The sequence below is a fragment of the Homo sapiens genome, chromosome 11 (assembly GCF_000001405.40).
Source record: "Homo sapiens chromosome 11, GRCh38.p14 Primary Assembly".
Taxonomy (NCBI): domain Eukaryota; kingdom Metazoa; phylum Chordata; class Mammalia; order Primates; family Hominidae; genus Homo; species Homo sapiens.
The window spans coordinates 102783083-102802918 of record NC_000011.10 but is presented as its reverse complement, the minus strand read 5'-3'; the positions used below and the strand labels follow the sequence as shown (position 1 = coordinate 102802918).

Below are 19836 nucleotides of genomic sequence, written 5' to 3'. Positions count from 1 at the left end.
AGCTGTAGTCCCAGCTACTTGAGAGGCTGATGTGGGAGGATCACTTGAGCCCAGGAGGCGGAGGCTGCAATGAGCCATGGTTATGCCACTGCATTCCAGCCTGGGCAACAGAGCAAGACTCTGCCTCAAAAAGTATAATAATAAAAAAATAAAGAAAGAATTATGGCTGAGGCATAAGTAGTTAAGAGTAATTAAAAAGAACTGGGTAGCAGGCTTAGAGAACATTTCACTTTGTGAAAAACAGAAAAATTCTGAAACAATGGAATATAGTTTGAATTCTGAATCATGGACTAAAAGCTCTGCAGGCCACACACGTGTGTATGTCACAGACTCCAAACAAGCAAGTCATAGTCTGGGCACATGATCAAAATCTCACAGGAAGCTTCCTCACATATTTCAAATCCATCTCAAATTCACATTCACAGATGTAAGAGCTGGGAAAGGACGGTTTTGACAGGGCTGAACTGAGCTATGGTATGAGTAGCACTCATCCCCAGAAAGTCTCTTGGTTTGAATTTCCTTTAAAAGGAGCTATAGCTGCAAAAATCTGTTTCACAAATGTGCTAACTATAAGCATTTTCCACAGTGTTTAATAAACCATGCAGATAAGAAAATATTATTGACAAACAAATTAATAAAATGCTCAAAATAATCTGATACTAAATGCTTGTAGCATGGCATGCAAATCACCAAAAATAAATGTGCTATGCTTCATATAAAATCTCCAGTAAGGCTGAGTGTGGTGGCTCACACCTATAATCCCAACACTCTGGGAGGCCGAGGTGAGAGAACTGCTTGAGGCCAGGAGTTTGAGACTAGCCTGGCCAACATAGTGAGACCTCATCTCTACAAAAAATCTTAAAAATCAGTGGGACATGGTGGTGCACATCTGTAGTTCTAGCTACTTGGGAGTCTGAGGCAGGAAGATTGCTTAAGCCCAAGAGTTTGAGGTCCCTACACTCCAGCCTAAGCGACAGAGGGAGACCTTGTCTCTAAATAAATAAATTAGTTAATTGAATGTCCAGTCAGTTGATATATCCAAATTCTTCCCATGGTAATTTTAAAAACTTTAGTCTTAGGAGAGTAAAAGTCATGGGCATAAGACTTCTTATAAACAACTCAGCCTAATGAGAAATAGACCCTTTATTTAAGTGTCATTTAAGTATCTATTTCTTCATTGATCTATTCATTTATTAACTCATGTAACAATCATTTGCAGACACCTACTATGTTGAGGTAGTATAAACTATAAATTCAACAAGTTTGATAAGGGAAATAAGAGAGATTGAGTGACAGCTTGAAGGGGAGGATTCTTTCAGGCCTGTGGGACCGGGTGGTGGCATGGAGACATTATTGTGGACTTGAGGGAGTTAATGTGACAGTCCTCGTGTCTCCAGACACTTTCTCTCTGTTAGGGAAGCAAGATTTCTATCCCCAGAGTATGTATGTGTTATGTCTGGACTGCAGTGGCACAGAACTGTGTTCAACGAGTGACTACCGCTCTGCTGTGTGCCCTGGGACTTGGGGTTAATTGATCAATCATTTCTACCCAGAAGGTAACCATGAGGACTGACGGAACCAGTGTGTACCAAGTGTCTGTTAAGTGTCTGGTCAATGGTTATCCATAAAGCTACTGCATGGCCATATGTAGGAAGAATACAGACCGTGGGGCAAATTTTTCCCACGTGTAACTCTCACAACAAAATAGCATTAAATACTTAATGTTTCTGGCTAAAGACCATTTCAAGACTTGCAGGACAAAAAAATAGAAAAAATATCTGACACTCAAATGGAGTTACAAAATTAAAACGGCTGAATTCCCCAGCATAAAAAAATATGAAGCAAGATTGAAATTTCAAGACTAAGTTTAATATGGAAAAATACAAATATGTTTGAGGCCTTTCACAGAGCAGCCAGCATGAAGCAACCAAGAAAACCACGGAAATAATCTGGCTGCCTGGAAATAGTCCGGAGTCAGCTGACACAGCCACACGAGAGCCCTCTTATGCTTGTCATAAGGGGTAAAGGAATAATTTCAGAAAATTACATTTAAAAGAGAATTATGGGGGAAGAAGATGCTCCCAGAGGAAACAAATAGTATGGATGTGAAGAGCAAATACAACTTTAACATGTTCTGAACTTCTTGGAAACTATGCTAAGTTTAGGCATTGCTAGGATTTGGTATGATTTAATCCCCAGCTTTCTGTTCTAAATTTTTGTTTTCTTTTTTACTCTCAAATAAATCATATGCTAGCACCAGCTGCAAAGTTACATATGTTGTATTAGACGATCTTCCATGAATACCTAACTGGAAATTCCAAGATTCAGGGCCATGTGAATCTAGGCTGGCTGCTTAACCAAAACTTAATTTAATTTTTTTCGTTTATTTTAGGAAAAAAAATTAACGAAAAGATGTTTCAAGCAACCAGTTTCCAATCCACGTCAGCAACTATGACATTTAATGAAACACTATGAGCATTTAGCATGAGAGCTCTGGACTCAGATGCAGGGAGCTTTGCTAGAGAAGGGAGGAAAAAGCAGGCATGATGTGGCGGGTTGTGGGGGACTCCAAGGCTCTATTTCCAACTTCCATCAGAGAACTTCTGTTTTCACCTGGTTTTCAAATTTGCTTTCCAAAAGGGATTTTGTTTAAGTAAAGGATACAGAGGTTTATAAAAGTTTGAAAACTTCTACATTGCAGGATGTGCAGGCTCTTGCCAGATGGGACAGTGTATGAGACTCTTCCAGGGTGACGTCTTAGGCAATTTCCTGTCCAATCACAGATGGTCACATGCTGCTTTCCTGAGTTAACCTATTAACTCACCCTTGTTTCCCAGGCCTCAGTGGAGCTAGGCTTGTCACGTCTTCACAGTGACTAGATTCCCTCACAGTCGAGTATATCTGCCACTCCTTGACTTTTAAAACATAGTCTATGTTCACCCTCTAATATGAAGAGCCCCTTTCACTATTTTCTTTGTCTGTGCTGGAGTCACTTCAGTGGCAAGTGTTCTTTGGTCTCTGCCGCACCCTCCCTCTGATGCCTCTGAGAAGAGGATTTCCTTTTCGTGAGAATGTCTTCCCATTCTTCTTACCCTCTTGAACTCACATGTTATGCCACTTAGATGAGGAAATTGTAGTTAAATAATTAGAAAGGATATGACTTATCTCAAATCAATCCAAGATATACTGAAGTATTGTTTATGAGTAAGATATCAGTCTTGACGCAGAAAGAAAACAGGAATCCATAAGGGGAGGAAAGTGTTGAAAAGCAAACCTGATACAGTGGGAAAGGTGGGAGACACCATAAGGTGCTGAAGTGATAAAACAGGCCAGTGTTTCTCCACTGTATGTTTTCAATAAATGCTTCCAAGGAAGGAGAGTGGGGCATGAGTAGGGGAGCTACAGAGATAAACCAACTTTTCTTACCAGGAATGCTACAGATAGCACTGGTGACACCGGTCACCAGTACCCAAGACAATTTAATGTGGAACATAAGTACAGGAATACACATCTTTCATTACAGAGCCATGTATTTATTTTAATGGGCAGGAGATGCTAAATAAGATCTTTTGAATGGAGGAATGCATAAATATATGAATGAATGCATACATGAAAGAATAAATAAATGCTGCCTAGCACCAAGGAGCGAAGATAGACTCATATCAAGGGAAACAAGTATGATTAAAAATAAGACCCCAGAGTCACGCTCAGTCTCTTTCCAGCCTTTTCATCATCCGGTACATTCAGACAAGTTTCAGGGAAGGATCCTATTTGTCCCATGATAATGATGGGCAAGGGGTGGGGAGTTATCTCATACTCCGCCTGTGGATGAGGGGTCTTCTCAGGTAAGGCTCTTAAATCCTAGGCCTGAGTAAATTTTTTCAAATTTTATTTTAGACAGGGTCCCTCTCTGTTGCCTAGGCTGGAGTGCAGCGGCACAATCACAGCTCAATGCAGCCTCAACCTCCCAGGCCCAAGTGATCCTCCCACCTCAGCCTCTTCAGTGACTAGGACTACAGGTGCATGACTCCATGCTTGGCTAACTTTAAAAAATGTTTGTTTGTTTGTTTGTTTTTTACAGAGATGGGGTCTCACCATGTTGCCCAGGCTGATCTTGAACTCCTGGGCTCAAGTGATTCCCCTGCCTCGGCCTCCTGAAATTCTGGGATTATAGGCTTGAGCCACCATGCCTGGCTCTGAGTAAAGATTAAGGGAAGCCATGGTGCTATCGCAATAGGGTACCAGGCAGCTTAACAAAGGCAGAAGGGAACCTCAGAGAACCCCGAAGAGCCACCGTAAAGTGAGTGCTGGGGGAGCTGAACTTCAGTCAGTACAGGTGCCGAACAGCCATCAGGTGCGCAGTGTTAGTAATTCCACCCTCTGCCCTGGGAGCAAGGTGTGTGGAGAAACCTGTAGCACTTTATGACCATCAGAACCAGTCTTTTTCAAAAAGACCATGGAGTACTCTTTGACCTGTGTATATAACAAGAACCTTTCTCAAATAGGAAAGAAATGAATTGGAGAAAACCACTGTTTACATGGCAGAGTGTGTCTCCTTCGCACACATCTTGTTTGAAGTTAATCATGACATTGCAACACCAAGTGATTCCAAATAATCTGCTAGGAGTCACCATTTCTAATGATTGCCTAGTCTATTCATAGCTAATCAAGAGGATGTTATAAAGCATGAGTCAGACAGCCTCTGGCTTTCTGGAAGGGCAAGGACTCTATATATACAGAGGGAGCTTCCTAGCTGGGATATTGGAGCAGCAAGAGGCTGGGAAGCCATCACTTACCTTGCACTGAGAAAGAAGACAAAGGCCAGTATGCACAGCTTTCCTCCACTGCTGCTGCTGCTGTTCTGGGGTGTGGTGTCTCACAGCTTCCCAGCGACTCTAGAAACACAAGAGCAAGATGTGGACTTAGTCCAGGTAAATGCTGCATTGCATGTGACAATAATGTAAATTTTTAGTTTGTATTTTTCTGCAGTAATGTAATAGAGTTTTTTAAGGATAGGTTTCTTATAAAGAGATTTTTTTTTTTTTTGCTAGAAACAGCACCCTCCACCCAAAATGTATCTAGCCATGCATACGCTCTCTTTTTCCAGTTGGAGGTGAGAGTGAACTAAAGGAACAACATCCAAACTTGTCTCCACAAATTGTAGACTTGTAACAGTATGCAAATCTTGCTCTACAAAAATTGCTCTACTATGAAGTTCTTACTTCACAATAACTAATAGTAGGGACATTTCTACTCTGAAATTTCATTTCTCACCAAAAATAAGGATAAAAGCAACTGCGAAATCTAAACACAAGGTTTAAAAGCAGTTCTCTGTTTTGGCTAAAACTTAATGCCATCAATTTTTAGAATAATGAGAAAGATTTCCCATGCAGTGTTTCGATAATTTTCTTTTGTCAGAAATACCTGGAAAAATACTACAACCTGAAGAATGATGGGAGGCAAGTTGAAAAGCGGAGAAATAGTGGCCCAGTGGTTGAAAAATTGAAGCAAATGCAGGAATTCTTTGGGCTGAAAGTGACTGGGAAACCAGATGCTGAAACCCTGAAGGTGATGAAGCAGCCCAGATGTGGAGTGCCTGATGTGGCTCAGTTTGTCCTCACTGAGGGGAACCCTCGCTGGGAGCAAACACATCTGACCTACAGGTAGGCAGACTGAGGGCCAGAGTGAGAGAGCTATTTCCCATGACAGTGGTAAGAAGTCATGTCCAATGTGTCTCTATTTTGTTTCATTCTAAGGATTGAAAATTACACGCCAGATTTGCCAAGAGCAGATGTGGACCATGCCATTGAGAAAGCCTTCCAACTCTGGAGTAATGTCACACCTCTGACATTCACCAAGGTCTCTGAGGGTCAAGCAGACATCATGATATCTTTTGTCAGGGGAGGTAAGTTCTTCTTATAGCACCTTAACCTCACCTTGCCCCTAGATCTCGTAGCTTTGCAACTGGAATTGATTGTTTAAGATGAATGTTGATTTTATGGGCTCGAAGAGGGAAACTGCATCACAGTTGATGGAAGTCTGTTGGCCTCTTAACAAAGCTAATGCTTGCCCTTCTGGCTTAGCTTACATAAGAACCACAAGGAATCTTTGTTGAATTGTTTCTTTCAGATCATCGGGACAACTCTCCTTTTGATGGACCTGGAGGAAATCTTGCTCATGCTTTTCAACCAGGCCCAGGTATTGGAGGGGATGCTCATTTTGATGAAGATGAAAGGTGGACCAACAATTTCAGAGGTAAGCCAATCAAATTTGCCTCTCTCAATTCTCCCACCCCTTCATGTTTCATTGTAATATTGGTTGATTTAGTTGAAAGAATGCATTCATAGAAGTATATATTTTTCTATTACCACTCAGAAAATTAGTGATACACTTAGAAAAGTGAAAGAGCGGTCTTTTCTGCTAGCTAACAACATCTTAGCAGTGACAACTAGGCCACTCTAAAATTTTTATTAAGAAAATTGTTGAAAACTTTGATGTTTTAATTGTGGGCATCAACATTGAAACTTTTTCATTAGAAGAAAACAGTGAAATTTAACAGCGGTCATAAACTTATGTGGAAATTAAAGAAAAGGAAGGCTTTTTGTGTTTTCCAAAATTTCCAGCAGTCAACATTTATCAGTTTTGTAAATAAGAAAAATATTAAATATTAGGCTGGGCGCAGTGGCTCATGCCTGTAATCCCAGCACTTTGGGAGGCCAAGGCAGGCAGATCACAACGTCAGGAGTTTGACACCAGCCTGACCAATATGGTGAAACCCTGTCTCTTCTAAAAATATAAAAATTAGACAGGCATGGTGGCACACGTCTGTAATCTCAGCTACTCAGGAGGCTGAGGCAGGAGAACCGCCTGAACCCAGGAGGCAGAGGTTGCAGTGAGCCAAGATCATGCCACTGCCCTCCAGCCTGGGTGACAGAGCAAGACTCCGTCTCAAGAAAGAAAAAAAGAAAAAGAAAAATATTAAATGTTAATAGAACATTTTGCTTCTGTGTGAAATAGTACGTGTCATTTAATCATTGATAATATTGATTAATCTGTGGTGCGCTTTCAGTCAGCTGAGTTTGTCTTTTAATTGTATCAATGTAATCATAGAGTTTAGGTTTCAACATGTCTCTTCGTTATTAATAAATGCATGCCTTCTGCCTTCGGAAAAAAGATATACATGCATATATTTCAAAAGTCACTGATAAAATAGTAACATGAGTCCTTGTAGTTGTAAATTATTTATTAGTTAAATGCCTCAAAACTGAATACCTTTCAAATAATTACAAATTGATTTATTGGCCTTTTTAGAGTACAACTTACATCGTGTTGCAGCTCATGAACTCGGCCATTCTCTTGGACTCTCCCATTCTACTGATATCGGGGCTTTGATGTACCCTAGCTACACCTTCAGTGGTGATGTTCAGCTAGCTCAGGATGACATTGATGGCATCCAAGCCATATATGGTGAGTATGGGGAAAAACATTACGGACAAGGGCCTGGTGGTCTTTATATGTATTTCAAATAAAACAGCCATTAGCGATATCCTTGAAGAAGCTGTCTTCATTGTTTATGTAGTTTTCTAATACTAGGCAAAACTAACTCTAGGTATTTTATTTTCCTTAGGACGTTCCCAAAATCCTGTCCAGCCCATCGGCCCACAAACCCCAAAAGCGTGTGACAGTAAGCTAACCTTTGATGCTATAACTACGATTCGGGGAGAAGTGATGTTCTTTAAAGACAGGTAAGATGTCAGTTCTTCTTTGTGATCTGCATTTGTAATAATAACAACATTCACCACTATGATTAACTATTATGCTTCACATGTTACTTATTTCATGCTGATTTACATCTATAATCACATGGTAGCAACCACATGCATTTGTGCAACATAATGTACTTGTAACAACTTTGTTTTTCTACATGTATTAGGTCAACTGATTCTCAGAAAATATAGTTGATTTTGAAAATCAGTATGTATGATCTTTTTTTACAGATTAGCAAAGTAAGTCAGAGAGAAGGAAAGAGATCTTTTGGGGGCATAGAGCTCATTGGTAGCAGAGCAGTTATTGGTCTTCTGTTCCCTATTTCAGGTCTCTTTTCATTATGCCACTCTTTATGGTGATAAGTATCATTGGACTTTCTTAGGAGAAAGTGGTCCTTTCCATAGCAACATCTCACTGATGAGGGTTGCATAGCCATCCTTTAATTATCTCCCCTGCCATCCTGGAAAAATGGCCCTCCCAAAGCCTATTAACTTGAAGGGTCTCTGTTGCCCCCTGGAGGCCCAGAGAAGAAGAGAAGAGAGGGCACCAATGCTGGGAAAGTCCCCAAGAACTGATGAAATCCCTCCTGGGACAGATAGGGGCAGCCACAACATGGTGCTTCCCTCTTCAAAGAAGAATCCTAGAACTCCCTCTGCAGCATGTGGACTCAAAAAGTTGGGGTCATCTCACATGCAAGGAGGAGGCCTGCTCTCTGTACCATAGTGATTCCTAAAGGATCAGGCAAAATAATAACACACTCTTTTGGTGTGTTATTGCACACCGCATTTGGTGAATGATGCAGTCCACAGAAAGATCAACACATAGAAATTCAGGGTGGCCTGAAAGGCTCATTCTCTGCAGCCTCTCAAGTGCTGTGGCACTGTTTTACTACTCTGTAGTCGCATCTCTCCTAGAATTCAGGGCACTGGCTCATAATTCTTTCTGCCCTCTCTTTACTTTTTAAGTGTAAAAGATAAGGCTGGAGGTAAACTATACAGGGTGTGGTTCAATGCTGGGACAAGTTAAGAAAACACATGGTTTTAAAGGAAACCTCTCAGTACAACAGGACACACCTATCAAACCAAATATTACTAGATGGAACAGGACCAATTTGAGGATTTGCCAGAATTGAAAGGACACAGAGATCATTTAAATGTCGCCATGTCGAGGAGACATGAAAGGCTAGAGATAGAGATAGTAACTGATTTGCCTAAGGCATCACAGCCAGGCAGAGGAAGGACTGGACCTAGAAGTCAGGTTTCCGACAGCCAAGGCCGTAGGCTTCCCTGTGGCCTGGAATCTGGAGCTCTTCTGTGTCAGCCCACATAACAGTCTATGCTGTGCTGTTACCCTAGTCCCTATTAAGCTCTATAATCCACTTTGTGTAAATACTACTAACCAAGGGACAACAAAGGGATTGGCTGCCAGAGCGGAGTTTAAAAATCAACCTTAGCCTCTTACCAGCTGGGTGGCCTTAGACACCTCCCTTAGTCTCCCCAACCTCAATTTCTCATCCTCAAATACTCTCTTGTAGTGTCCTTGTGATAAGGTCTGATGTAAGGAATGGGCCTGGTGTGTTGTAAGTAATCACTAAATAATAGGATATTAGAGTCATGGTCCAGTTGGTAATGTGCACAGCCGATCCCTAATGGCTCACCAAAGCTGACTGTTAAATTTTGAAGAATTTTGCAAGCTAGCTGTGAACCATAGCCATTATTAAAAATTAAATTATAGGCCAGGTGCAGTGGCTCACACTTGTAATCGCAGCACTTTGGGAGGCGGAGGCGGGGGAATCATTTGAGATCAGGAGTTCAAGACCAGCCTGGCCAATATGGTGAAACCCTGTCTCTACTAAAAGTACAAAAATTAGCTGGGCGTGTTGGCCTGTACCTGTAATCCCAGCTACTCAGGAGGCTGAGGCAGGAGAATCCTTGAATCTGGGAGGCAGAGGTTGCTCTGAGCCAAGATTGTACCACTACACTCCAGCCTGGGTGAGAGAGTGAGACTCTGTCTCAAAAAAGTAAATAAATAAAAAAGAGATAAAACTTAAATTATATAAACAAAATTAAATTACATTAAAATAAAAGGTAATAAAAATAATAAAAATTCATCAGTTTGTCATAATTTTTACTGCATTTTTCTACTTATTTATGTTCTTAAAGTTACTTATGCCTATTTTATTTGTATGCTATACAATGGTGCTCCACTGAGACTCTTGAAATTCATCATAATGGGAGTATTTCAAGCTAGTGAAATCAGCAAATGCTATAAACCAACCCTTCTTTGGAGAGCTGAATGTTATACATTTACCAGCACACCACTAGTGCCAGCAACAAGAAGGAGCTGGAGCTGGATATCTGCCAGAGATTACCAGAAATTAGATGGAAACTTTTCTTGCTTTTTTTCTAATCAGATTCTACATGCGCACAAATCCCTTCTACCCGGAAGTTGAGCTCAATTTCATTTCTGTTTTCTGGCCACAACTGCCAAATGGGCTTGAAGCTGCTTACGAATTTGCCGACAGAGATGAAGTCCGGTTTTTCAAAGGTAATCTTTCTAATTATTTTTCACTGCTTTAATAAATCAATTTTTCATTCCCTTTGGGGCTGAGATATAAGGTTACTAGCTACATTCTCTCCAGGGACTTTTGAAAATCTCAGTCTCACCAACCAAATCAATGAAAGTCCATCAACTTAACTAAACGGTGCGTAGCGCATTTTGGAGTCATTTTAAACAAAAGGCAAATGACTGGAGATAGAACGTTCTGGCCTTTTTAATGAATCTAGATTTACAAAAATATTTTCTGCACAAACTATGTATTTAAAACCCCCTCCATATTCCTGGGAGTACTCAAAGTAAAACTCGAGACACTATGCCACGCACCAATATTTTTGCAAACGTGTGTTTAACGTAGTACAATGAGTAAGACATTTGACTCAGCCATACACTCAAGGCAAAGAATTAAATGCAGGTCAGATGGGCCAAACGCTTTGAAACAGGATTTTTAGCCTTTAAATTATGAAATTAAATGGATGTTAGAGACAGAAAGTTTCAAATTCCTTTTTCATGAGGGGTAAATAGCACGTGTGTACAGTAACAGAAATCTTGGCTTTAGTATATGAGACCAGCTTTATGTGATGAGGGGCTTACTGAGTATAAACACGGAATCTGGACACAGCATTAATTCAAGTATTTGGAACTATCTTCTAGTCAAATGCAGTGATTTGAATCCAGGATTGCAAACCCTTACAGGTTATGAGTCACTACAGCACTTCACCCTTTATGATACAAATGGTTTGAACTTCCACAGTCCATGAGCAAACCTGGAGAACCGAAGTTTATATCACCAAGGTGGCATAACTAACTCTTTAGTCATTTGAACATCTGACTGTGGAAAGAAGCCCCCAACTCCATAAACAAGTCATTCTCAAAGCTTGCTGCAGATTAGAATCAACTAAGAAGCTTCCAAAGATAGACACATTTAATTGGTCTGGGATAGGGTCCTGGCATCAGTATTTTCAAAAATCTCCCTAGATGATTCTAATCTGCAGCCAGGGTACTGCACTAGCATGTGAAACTAAGAACTTAGCTGAAAATTCACTTACTGCCTATTGAAGTCTTAGGCAAGTGTTTTATCACTCTTTCTTGATTGGCAGGGAATAAGTACTGGGCTGTTCAGGGACAGAATGTGCTACACGGATACCCCAAGGACATCTACAGCTCCTTTGGCTTCCCTAGAACTGTGAAGCATATCGATGCTGCTCTTTCTGAGGAAAACACTGGAAAAACCTACTTCTTTGTTGCTAACAAATACTGGAGGTAAGTTTAAGTGCAGAGAATGTTAGGGCCTCAGTTCTTTCTACATAAAAAGTTCTAGAATAGCCCATTTCAAAGTGAGTCTCAAACTGCCTTGGCCGGCATCCTTTCCTTCAGATGGCTGGTGCCAATCTATCATCTATTTAGTCTATTGACCAATAATCATCACACAATGCCTGCACTGGGAATCCAGAGAATGTAGGGGGATGAATTTTAAAAGGATGTAGAATTGAGGACATTCATCTTAACGGAGCTACTTTGGCCAAAAGTTACTTATCTTCCATAGTATGTTACCTCGATAGGACATAGCGTAGAACCTACTGGAGAATTCGATGCTGGATTTCAGAGGGGCCTTAAAGGCCTTTTAGTTCACCCAACATTCCACCTTATCCCATCCACTCCCCATTTCACAAATGATCTATAAAATGAAATATTCTGGTTAAATTCCTCATTGTGTATTTTCTGTAATGATTTTCAGAGTGCACATGTTTAGCAAAAGGTCTGACACTCTTAACTCTTTTCTGACCAGGTATGATGAATATAAACGATCTATGGATCCAGGTTATCCCAAAATGATAGCACATGACTTTCCTGGAATTGGCCACAAAGTTGATGCAGTTTTCATGAAAGATGGTAAGTGAATATACATGTATTTCCTCCATTTCATTGCCGTAGCAATAACATCATTATTGTTAGTTGGAACAGCAAATGCCAAAAATATCTGTGCTCACAGATGAATTGGTTTCTCAAGAATTCAAGTTAAACCTAGAAACTACTTGTATAATGTAGTAAGTCTCTTTTGTTTTGTTTCTAGGATTTTTCTATTTCTTTCATGGAACAAGACAATACAAATTTGATCCTAAAACGAAGAGAATTTTGACTCTCCAGAAAGCTAATAGCTGGTTCAACTGCAGGAAAAATTGAACATTACTAATTTGAATGGAAAACACATGGTGTGAGTCCAAAGAAGGTGTTTTCCTGAAGAACTGTCTATTTTCTCAGTCATTTTTAACCTCTAGAGTCACTGATACACAGAATATAATCTTATTTATACCTCAGTTTGCATATTTTTTTACTATTTAGAATGTAGCCCTTTTTGTACTGATATAATTTAGTTCCACAAATGGTGGGTACAAAAAGTCAAGTTTGTGGCTTATGGATTCATATAGGCCAGAGTTGCAAAGATCTTTTCCAGAGTATGCAACTCTGACGTTGATCCCAGAGAGCAGCTTCAGTGACAAACATATCCTTTCAAGACAGAAAGAGACAGGAGACATGAGTCTTTGCCGGAGGAAAAGCAGCTCAAGAACACATGTGCAGTCACTGGTGTCACCCTGGATAGGCAAGGGATAACTCTTCTAACACAAAATAAGTGTTTTATGTTTGGAATAAAGTCAACCTTGTTTCTACTGTTTTATACACTTTCTATATTTATTATTGTTACTTTCTGATGACAACGCCACCCTTACAGAGACTGCTTTTCAAATTTGAAATGGGAAGTAGACAATATAAAAAATGTTCATGTGGGAAATGAGGATATACAAAAAACTCAACTATTCTCTATTCACATGGAATTTATACCATATAAACTGGGGTGGGGGAGGGGAATCCATTTCCCTTGCCCCATTTATGGATTCCAAAAGTGGTTTTAGGTAAAATCAGTGACATCATGGTAGAGCGTTCTAGGTGTATGTCATTTTGTCTCTTCTGAACATATGGGAGGGTTCCATTTTCCCACAGTCCAACTCCTTGCAGAGTTGGGTGGTGGGCAGTGGGGCATCTGACTACTTCTAGCCAGAGGGTTGAGTGAAGAAGTGACAAATATCATTTTCAGACTGGAACATTTAATTGCTGGTGGAAATTTCTCTAGTAGTCTACTCCTTCTGTCCTGTGGTAGAAGTACATCATGAGAGAGTTGCCACAAGACAGAACAAGCTGAATTGCTGGAGGTAAATGCTCCAAATAGTTACACAAACCTCAGTAGACTTTGCTTAAGCAGGAAATCAAATTTTAGGCTGGCCATGGTGGCTCACACCTATAATCCTAGCATTTTGGGTGGCTGAGACAGGAGGATTGCTTGAGACTAGGAGTTTGAGACCAGCCTGGGCAACATAGTAAGGCTCTACGTCTACAAAAAAAAATTTAAAAATAGCTGAGTATAGTGGTACACACCTGTATTCCCAGCTACTCTGAGGGCTGAGATGGGAGGATCACTTGAGCCCAGGAGTTGGAGGCTTCAGTGAGTCATAATCGCACCACTTTATTAGTTCGTTCTCACATTGCTATAAAGAATTACCTCTGACTGGATAATTTATAAAGAAAAGAGGTTTAATTGGCTCACGGTTTCACCGGCTGTACAGGGAGCATGGCTGGAAAGACCTCAGGAAACTTATAATCATGACAGAAGGTGAAAGAGAAGCCGGCATGTCCTACGTGGCTGGAGCAAGAGGAAGAGAGAGAGCAGGTGGAAGTGCTACACACTTTCAAACAACCAGATCTTGTGAGAACTCACTCACTATCACAAGAACAGCAAAGGGGAAATCCACTCACATGATTCAGTTACCTCCCACCAGATCCCTCCTCCAACGCTGAGGAATTACAATTCCACACAAGATTTGCCTCGGGACACAGAGCCAAACCATATCACCGCTGCGCTCCAGCCTGGGTTACAGAATGAGATTCTTGTCTCTAAACATATATACAACTTTTATTTCCTAAGCCACTAAGATTTTCTATTTGATTAATGCTGCATAATATAGTTTGTCAAGATAATCACTAGTTTATCATGACTAATTTGGGAGGAAAGTTTATGTAGGCAGGAGTCTTGCAAGTAGCTTTACACAGGCAGAAGCAAGCTCTACACAGGCAGAAGTAGTACCTCCCTCTTGCCAGAGGAGCACAAACTATGCTTGCATGGAGAATTGATAAAGACCTCATTTGAGACAAAAACCTCACAAGATAGTGCTTGCCCTCATCCCAGATTGATCTTCCCTCTGCTCATTATTTTCAGGCAAATGACTAAGATCAGGTCTCAGCATAGTTCAGATCCTAGCTATGGTAGGAAATATAGGTTACTAACCAAAAGAATTATAGGACCTGGGCATTAAGTATCATCAGAAATCAAGGAAACACATATGGGAGTAAATCTGAAAGGCATCAGATTAAGTTGGGGGATGTAAGGCTGAAGAGAGAAGAATTTATTGACATCGATACACACATTCTTGACTTGGGAATCAATTTCCTAGAAAGGAAACCAGGAGCTTGTCTAATACTCTGCTGACATGGATTCTCAAATCTTGGACACAATGATGTCCTGTGGCATATGAGGTGGAGATGCCAGAATTTCTGTGGCATGATTTTGAGGAAGAAGTCAGAAGACACAGAGAGATTTGAACCTTAAAATGAATCTATTACATGAAATTGAAGAACCCACCATCATACTCTGTTGCCTGGGAAGGCCCAGAGGGCACTCTTTTCATTGGCTTTCATTGAAGCCATAAGGACCACACTGGTGAGGGTGCACACTGGTGTCTCAGAGATACCTGGTGGTGGTTGTTCTCTGTGAGGTGGGTTAAGAATATGAGGTGTTTCTGGGGAATTGGCCTCTCTAGTATCATTAAAGATGATGGGATAGCAGAATGGTAAAAGTGCATACATACAGATGTATATGTATATACATGTATATACATACACATCCATATCCATATACATATATATACATATGTATGTACACATGCATACATATATCTCTCCATTTATATACACACATATACTATATATACATATACATATGTATATACAAATCATACTTATCATATGTATGTACAAATAATATAAAACATGCATAATATGTATATGTTATAATATGTATACAAAAATCATAAAAAACATACATATATGTATGTGTGTGTGTATATATATATGTATGTGTATATATGGAGACAGAAATCCTCCTTCAAGGGGACCTAGTCTCTCTCTCTCTCCCTCTCTCTATCTCTCTCTCTCTCTCTCACACACACACACACACACACACATCTTAGTAACTGTGATGCCACTACATACCAAGGATTACATATGTCTTTTAAATTATCCTCATAAAGGTACCTATGGCCATCCACCAGGGTAACCGTGCACTGGGGAAGAAGAGTACTCAGATTTGGCAAGGACAGTTGGATACCAGATCTGAACTGAGCTGGTATCAGAGGTCCCAACATGGTATTAAGGCCTTCCAGTTTAGAAAGGAGGTATATGAGGGAAAGTGATAAATAGGGTTCTGACTCAAGGTCATCTCACAGTGGGCCCAGCGGGCCCACAGACCATCTTGTGGTTGTTCCCTGACTTCTGGAATAAGATCTTTATGGTAGGAAGGGCCAACTAGTAGCCCCTGAAACTGCTCCTCCTAAACTCTGGCCAAAATAGTAAACCAAAAGCAGCAAAAAACCAATGTCACATCCTGGGAGGATTGCACAGACTGGTTACACTATCAGAGTTTTAAAAGCAACAAGGAGGGTAATCCTCTCACAGCCTCACTCAATGAATCCTTGGAGCCCTTGCATAAACCCAATACATCATGACGGTGGCCTTACCTAGTGGGTAACTACCTAGCAGGTAACTTACCTAGTGGGTAATTATCATCACAGCTACTATTTCAGACATGATTTCTTTACTAGAGCAAATTAACACAGCCTCAGAAACATGATACAGAGTGATTCAAGAGGAGTGTTTAGAGATTTCCCCTGCTGTCTTTGAGCCCACAAATGCACTAGAAAGTAGGGGTTTTGCTTGTTTGGGTTTTGTTTGGGTTTTAAACGAGGCTCTAGCCTTCCAGTTTGAATCCTTTTAGAGAATTTAACCCCAAACACCACTCTAAGGGGAAGTAGTAGCTTTTTTCCAGACCTAGCCCATATGTCTTAAAGGGGCAGTGTTCTGGCCAATGAATTGCAGTGCAAAGCTGCAAGATCTGCTCTGCCACTCAACTCTTTGTGATCTTGACCATTCTGAATCTTCGTTTCCTTTCTATGGTAAAGGGAAAATAATACTAACTTCCAGGATTGTCGTAAAGATAGAAGAGGTTAGATCACCTAGCACAGTGCCTGTCATGTTGAAAATATTCAACAAATGATAATTGCCCTTTTCTTTCGCATATTCCCCTACAGCCAGAATTTTTCTTCAGTGCTTCTTTCCTCCTCACTGAGGGTCTTCCCACCAGAAAAGCCCACTGCACCAAGGAATCAACAGAGCAACTAACCTAACACATTGTTACTGTATCTCCTACACATTGGAAATACAGTAACTGCATTCATAGAGCATTATTTTATGTGTTTAGGTATTGTTAAAATAATAATGGCCATTATAGGACACAACATAAAATTATGCTTTCTAATATTCACAACACTGAAGTCATGATTCTGAGGTCCGTCTAACCCCTACTTTGATACTTTGCCTCCTTCCATTGATAGTATTTTCTATAGCAAGCACAAGTGGCCTGCAATATTTGACTAAACTATCAGAATAGAGAAAAGAATGAATATAAATCTAACAATAAACTGTGTTCCCATTGTGAAGCAGTCAAATTGGAACTAAAAGCATGGGAAAGAGATCAACTTTTCACTTGTTATGAGTCTGTGTAAAAACCAGTAATTTCCAACAAAAGAAGAAGTTGCAAAATACTGAAGTCAATGTCATGCCATGGTTGACGCAGGATTATATGTATAAGTGTACAACCTTAAAATCAGAGGTCTTTGGGTATTGAAAATTAATAGCTAACCAGTTTTCCCAAGAATTGAATAAACTGGAAGTGAGAAACCGTTAGGCATTTCTCAGTCTTAGTTACTGAAATTGCAATGGATTGTAGACCTGCATTCTGTCTGGATCACATCAGTGCAGCACAGGCCAAGAGGAACTTCAAGTGACAGAACAGATAAACATAGATCAAATGAAGTAGCTGTGTTAGCAGGATGATCAGAGAGTTGGGAGAAAAGAACAAAAGCTAAGGAGATAAATTGAAGGCATGTTCAGGGGTGAGTTCAAGAATGAGAGATAGGCCAGGCGCGGTGGCTCATGCCTGTAATCCCAGCACTTTGGGAGGCCGAGGCGGGCGGATCATGAGATCAGGAGATCGAGACCATCCTGGCTAACACGGTGAAACCCTGTCTCTACTAAAAATACAGAAAATTAGCTGGGCGTGGTGGCGGGCGCCTGTAGTCCCAGCTACTCGGGAGGCTGAGGCAGGAGAATGGTGTGAACCCAGGAGGCAGAGCTGGCAGTGAGCTGAAATTGCGCCACTGCGCTCCAGCCTGGGAGACAGAGTGAGACTCTGTCTCAAAAAAAAAAAAAAAAAAAGAATGAGAGATAAAGAACAGTGTCAAGACATAAAAGAAAAAAAGCTGGGGAAGAACCAAGGTCCAAGCCAAGAGGTTGTTTTAAAACTTTTGTTATTACTATTATTTTAAATATATTTGGGGGGTACAAGTGCAGTTTTGTCACATGGATATATTGCATAGTGTTGAAGTCTGAGCTTTTAGTGTAACTCTCACTGGAACAGAAGACATTGTGCCCCCATTAGATAATTTCTCATCCCTCTTTTCCCTCCCACCCTCTTGAGTGCCCAGTGTCTATTATTCCACACAGTATATCCATGTGTACACATTATTTAGCTCCCACTTGTAAATCAGAACATGCAGTATTTGACTTTCTGTTTCTAAGTTATTTCACATAACGTAATGACCTCCACTTCCATCCATGTTACTGCTAAAGACATTACGTCATTCTTTTTATGGCTGCATAGTATTCCAAACAGTATGAGGATTTCTCAAAGACCAAAAAAATAGAACTACCATTCAACCCAGCAATCCCACTACTGGATATCCACCCAAAGGAAAAGAAATCATTATGTCAAAAAGATACCTGTACTTGTATGTTAATCGCAGCACTATTCACAATAGCAAAGATATGGAATGAAGCCAAGAAGTTTTTGATAAACATCCAAGTTGTAGTCATGAAGGTTTCTTCTGGCAGTTCTGAATAATCTCTTCCCACTTGTTAGCTTTTGATCGTGAGCTTATTATTCAATTTTTCTAATCTCAACTTTGTTGGGTTGTTCTGAAGTTTAAAAATAACTCACATTTAAGAACTGACTACAGTGGAAGCTCAATACCAGGCGTTTCACCTTTCTTTAAGTATGAGCTCTGTATGCTTCCTTGCCTGACCCTATACATACTTCAGTAGGTTTAACAAGTAATGAATTATATAAAGACAAACATAGGACTCACCTGCTCCAGGGCATTAATTTCTACCAGGTGTCATGGTTTAATGCAGGACAAGTTTAAACACTAACATCATTTCTGTGAGGCATGTGCTACCCTATAGGCTCCCAATTATAGTCGTAGCTATTACTACAATGTAAACTTTCATTGTATCATTACCACATAATAAAATCCATTAACAGGATGTGTCAACACTAATAAAGTTATGACTCAAGCGAAAATGGGCATCTCACAGCTTGTCAAATCAGGGCCTAGGGGCATTGTCACAGATTTGTCAGGCCAACAAGCTTTGTCTGTTAAAGGTGTTGGAGTGAAATAAGAAGAGATTTGTTCCCCAGCATAAAGCATACAAAATAACTTTGTGAGTGTGGTTATATCCACCCCATTTTACAGATGACAAAATAATGGCCTGAATTAATTACACACAGTCATGTGTGACTTAACAATGGGGACACATTCTAAGAAACATGTCCTTAGGCAATTTATCCATTGTGCAAACACCATGGATTAAACTTACACAAACCTCTATGGTACAGCCTACTACATGCCTAGACTATGTGGTATAGCCTTTTAAAAATTTCTTGGGGAAAGTTATCCTCCCATCTCAGCCTTCCAAGTAGCTGAGAGTAGAGGTGTCAGCCACCATGCCCAGCAAGCCTATTACTCCTAGGCTACAAACCTATACAGCATGAAATTCTACTGAATACTGGAGGCAATTGTAACATAATAATAAATATTACTGTATCTACACATATTTTAACATTAAAAAATACAATAAAAAGATGGTATTAAAGATAAAAAATGGTACAACTATATAGGGCACTAACCAGGAATGAAGCTTGCCAGACTGGAAGTTGCTCTAAGTGAGTCAGTGAGTGAGTGGTGAGTGAATCTGTACACTATGTAGACTTTATGAACATTGTATGCCTAGACTACACTAAATTTATAAAAGCATTTTTCTTTCATCAATATAAATTAACCTTAGCTT

The 19836-nt window shown here is 40.2% G+C and overlaps 1 protein-coding gene and 1 pseudogene across 3 annotated transcripts in view; one reads left to right on the top strand and one right to left on the bottom strand.

The window, feature by feature from the left end:
• WTAPP1 (WTAP pseudogene 1) overlaps positions 1–19243 on the bottom strand; it is a 53091-nt pseudogene extending 33848 nt beyond the window's left edge. Inside the window, exons 1-4 of the transcript NR_038390.1 lie at positions 18855–19243; positions 9658–9774; positions 7695–7771; positions 4797–4895 (exon numbers count right to left, since the gene is read on the bottom strand). The product of NR_038390.1 is annotated as a WTAP pseudogene 1 (transcript). The remainder of the gene's footprint in view (positions 1–4796; positions 4896–7694; positions 7772–9657; positions 9775–18854) is intronic.
• On the top strand, positions 4759–13000 carry MMP1 (matrix metallopeptidase 1). 2 transcript variants are annotated; one of them, NM_001145938.2, is made up of 10 exons: positions 4759–4820; positions 5460–5663; positions 5757–5905; positions 6130–6255; positions 7312–7467; positions 7628–7745; positions 10181–10314; positions 11424–11586; positions 12113–12216; positions 12398–13000. In NM_001145938.2, the coding sequence occupies exons 2-10, from the start codon at positions 5512–5514 to the stop codon at positions 12505–12507; spliced, it is 1212 nt and encodes a 403-aa protein (NP_001139410.1). In that variant the 5' UTR covers positions 4759–4820; positions 5460–5511; the 3' UTR covers positions 12508–13000. The 2 variants fall into 2 exon arrangements, with proteins under 2 accessions (NP_001139410.1, NP_002412.1); NM_002421.4 differs by having other exon boundaries at positions 4759–4931; positions 5419–5663.
• Positions 19244–19836: the final 593 nt, after the last annotated feature.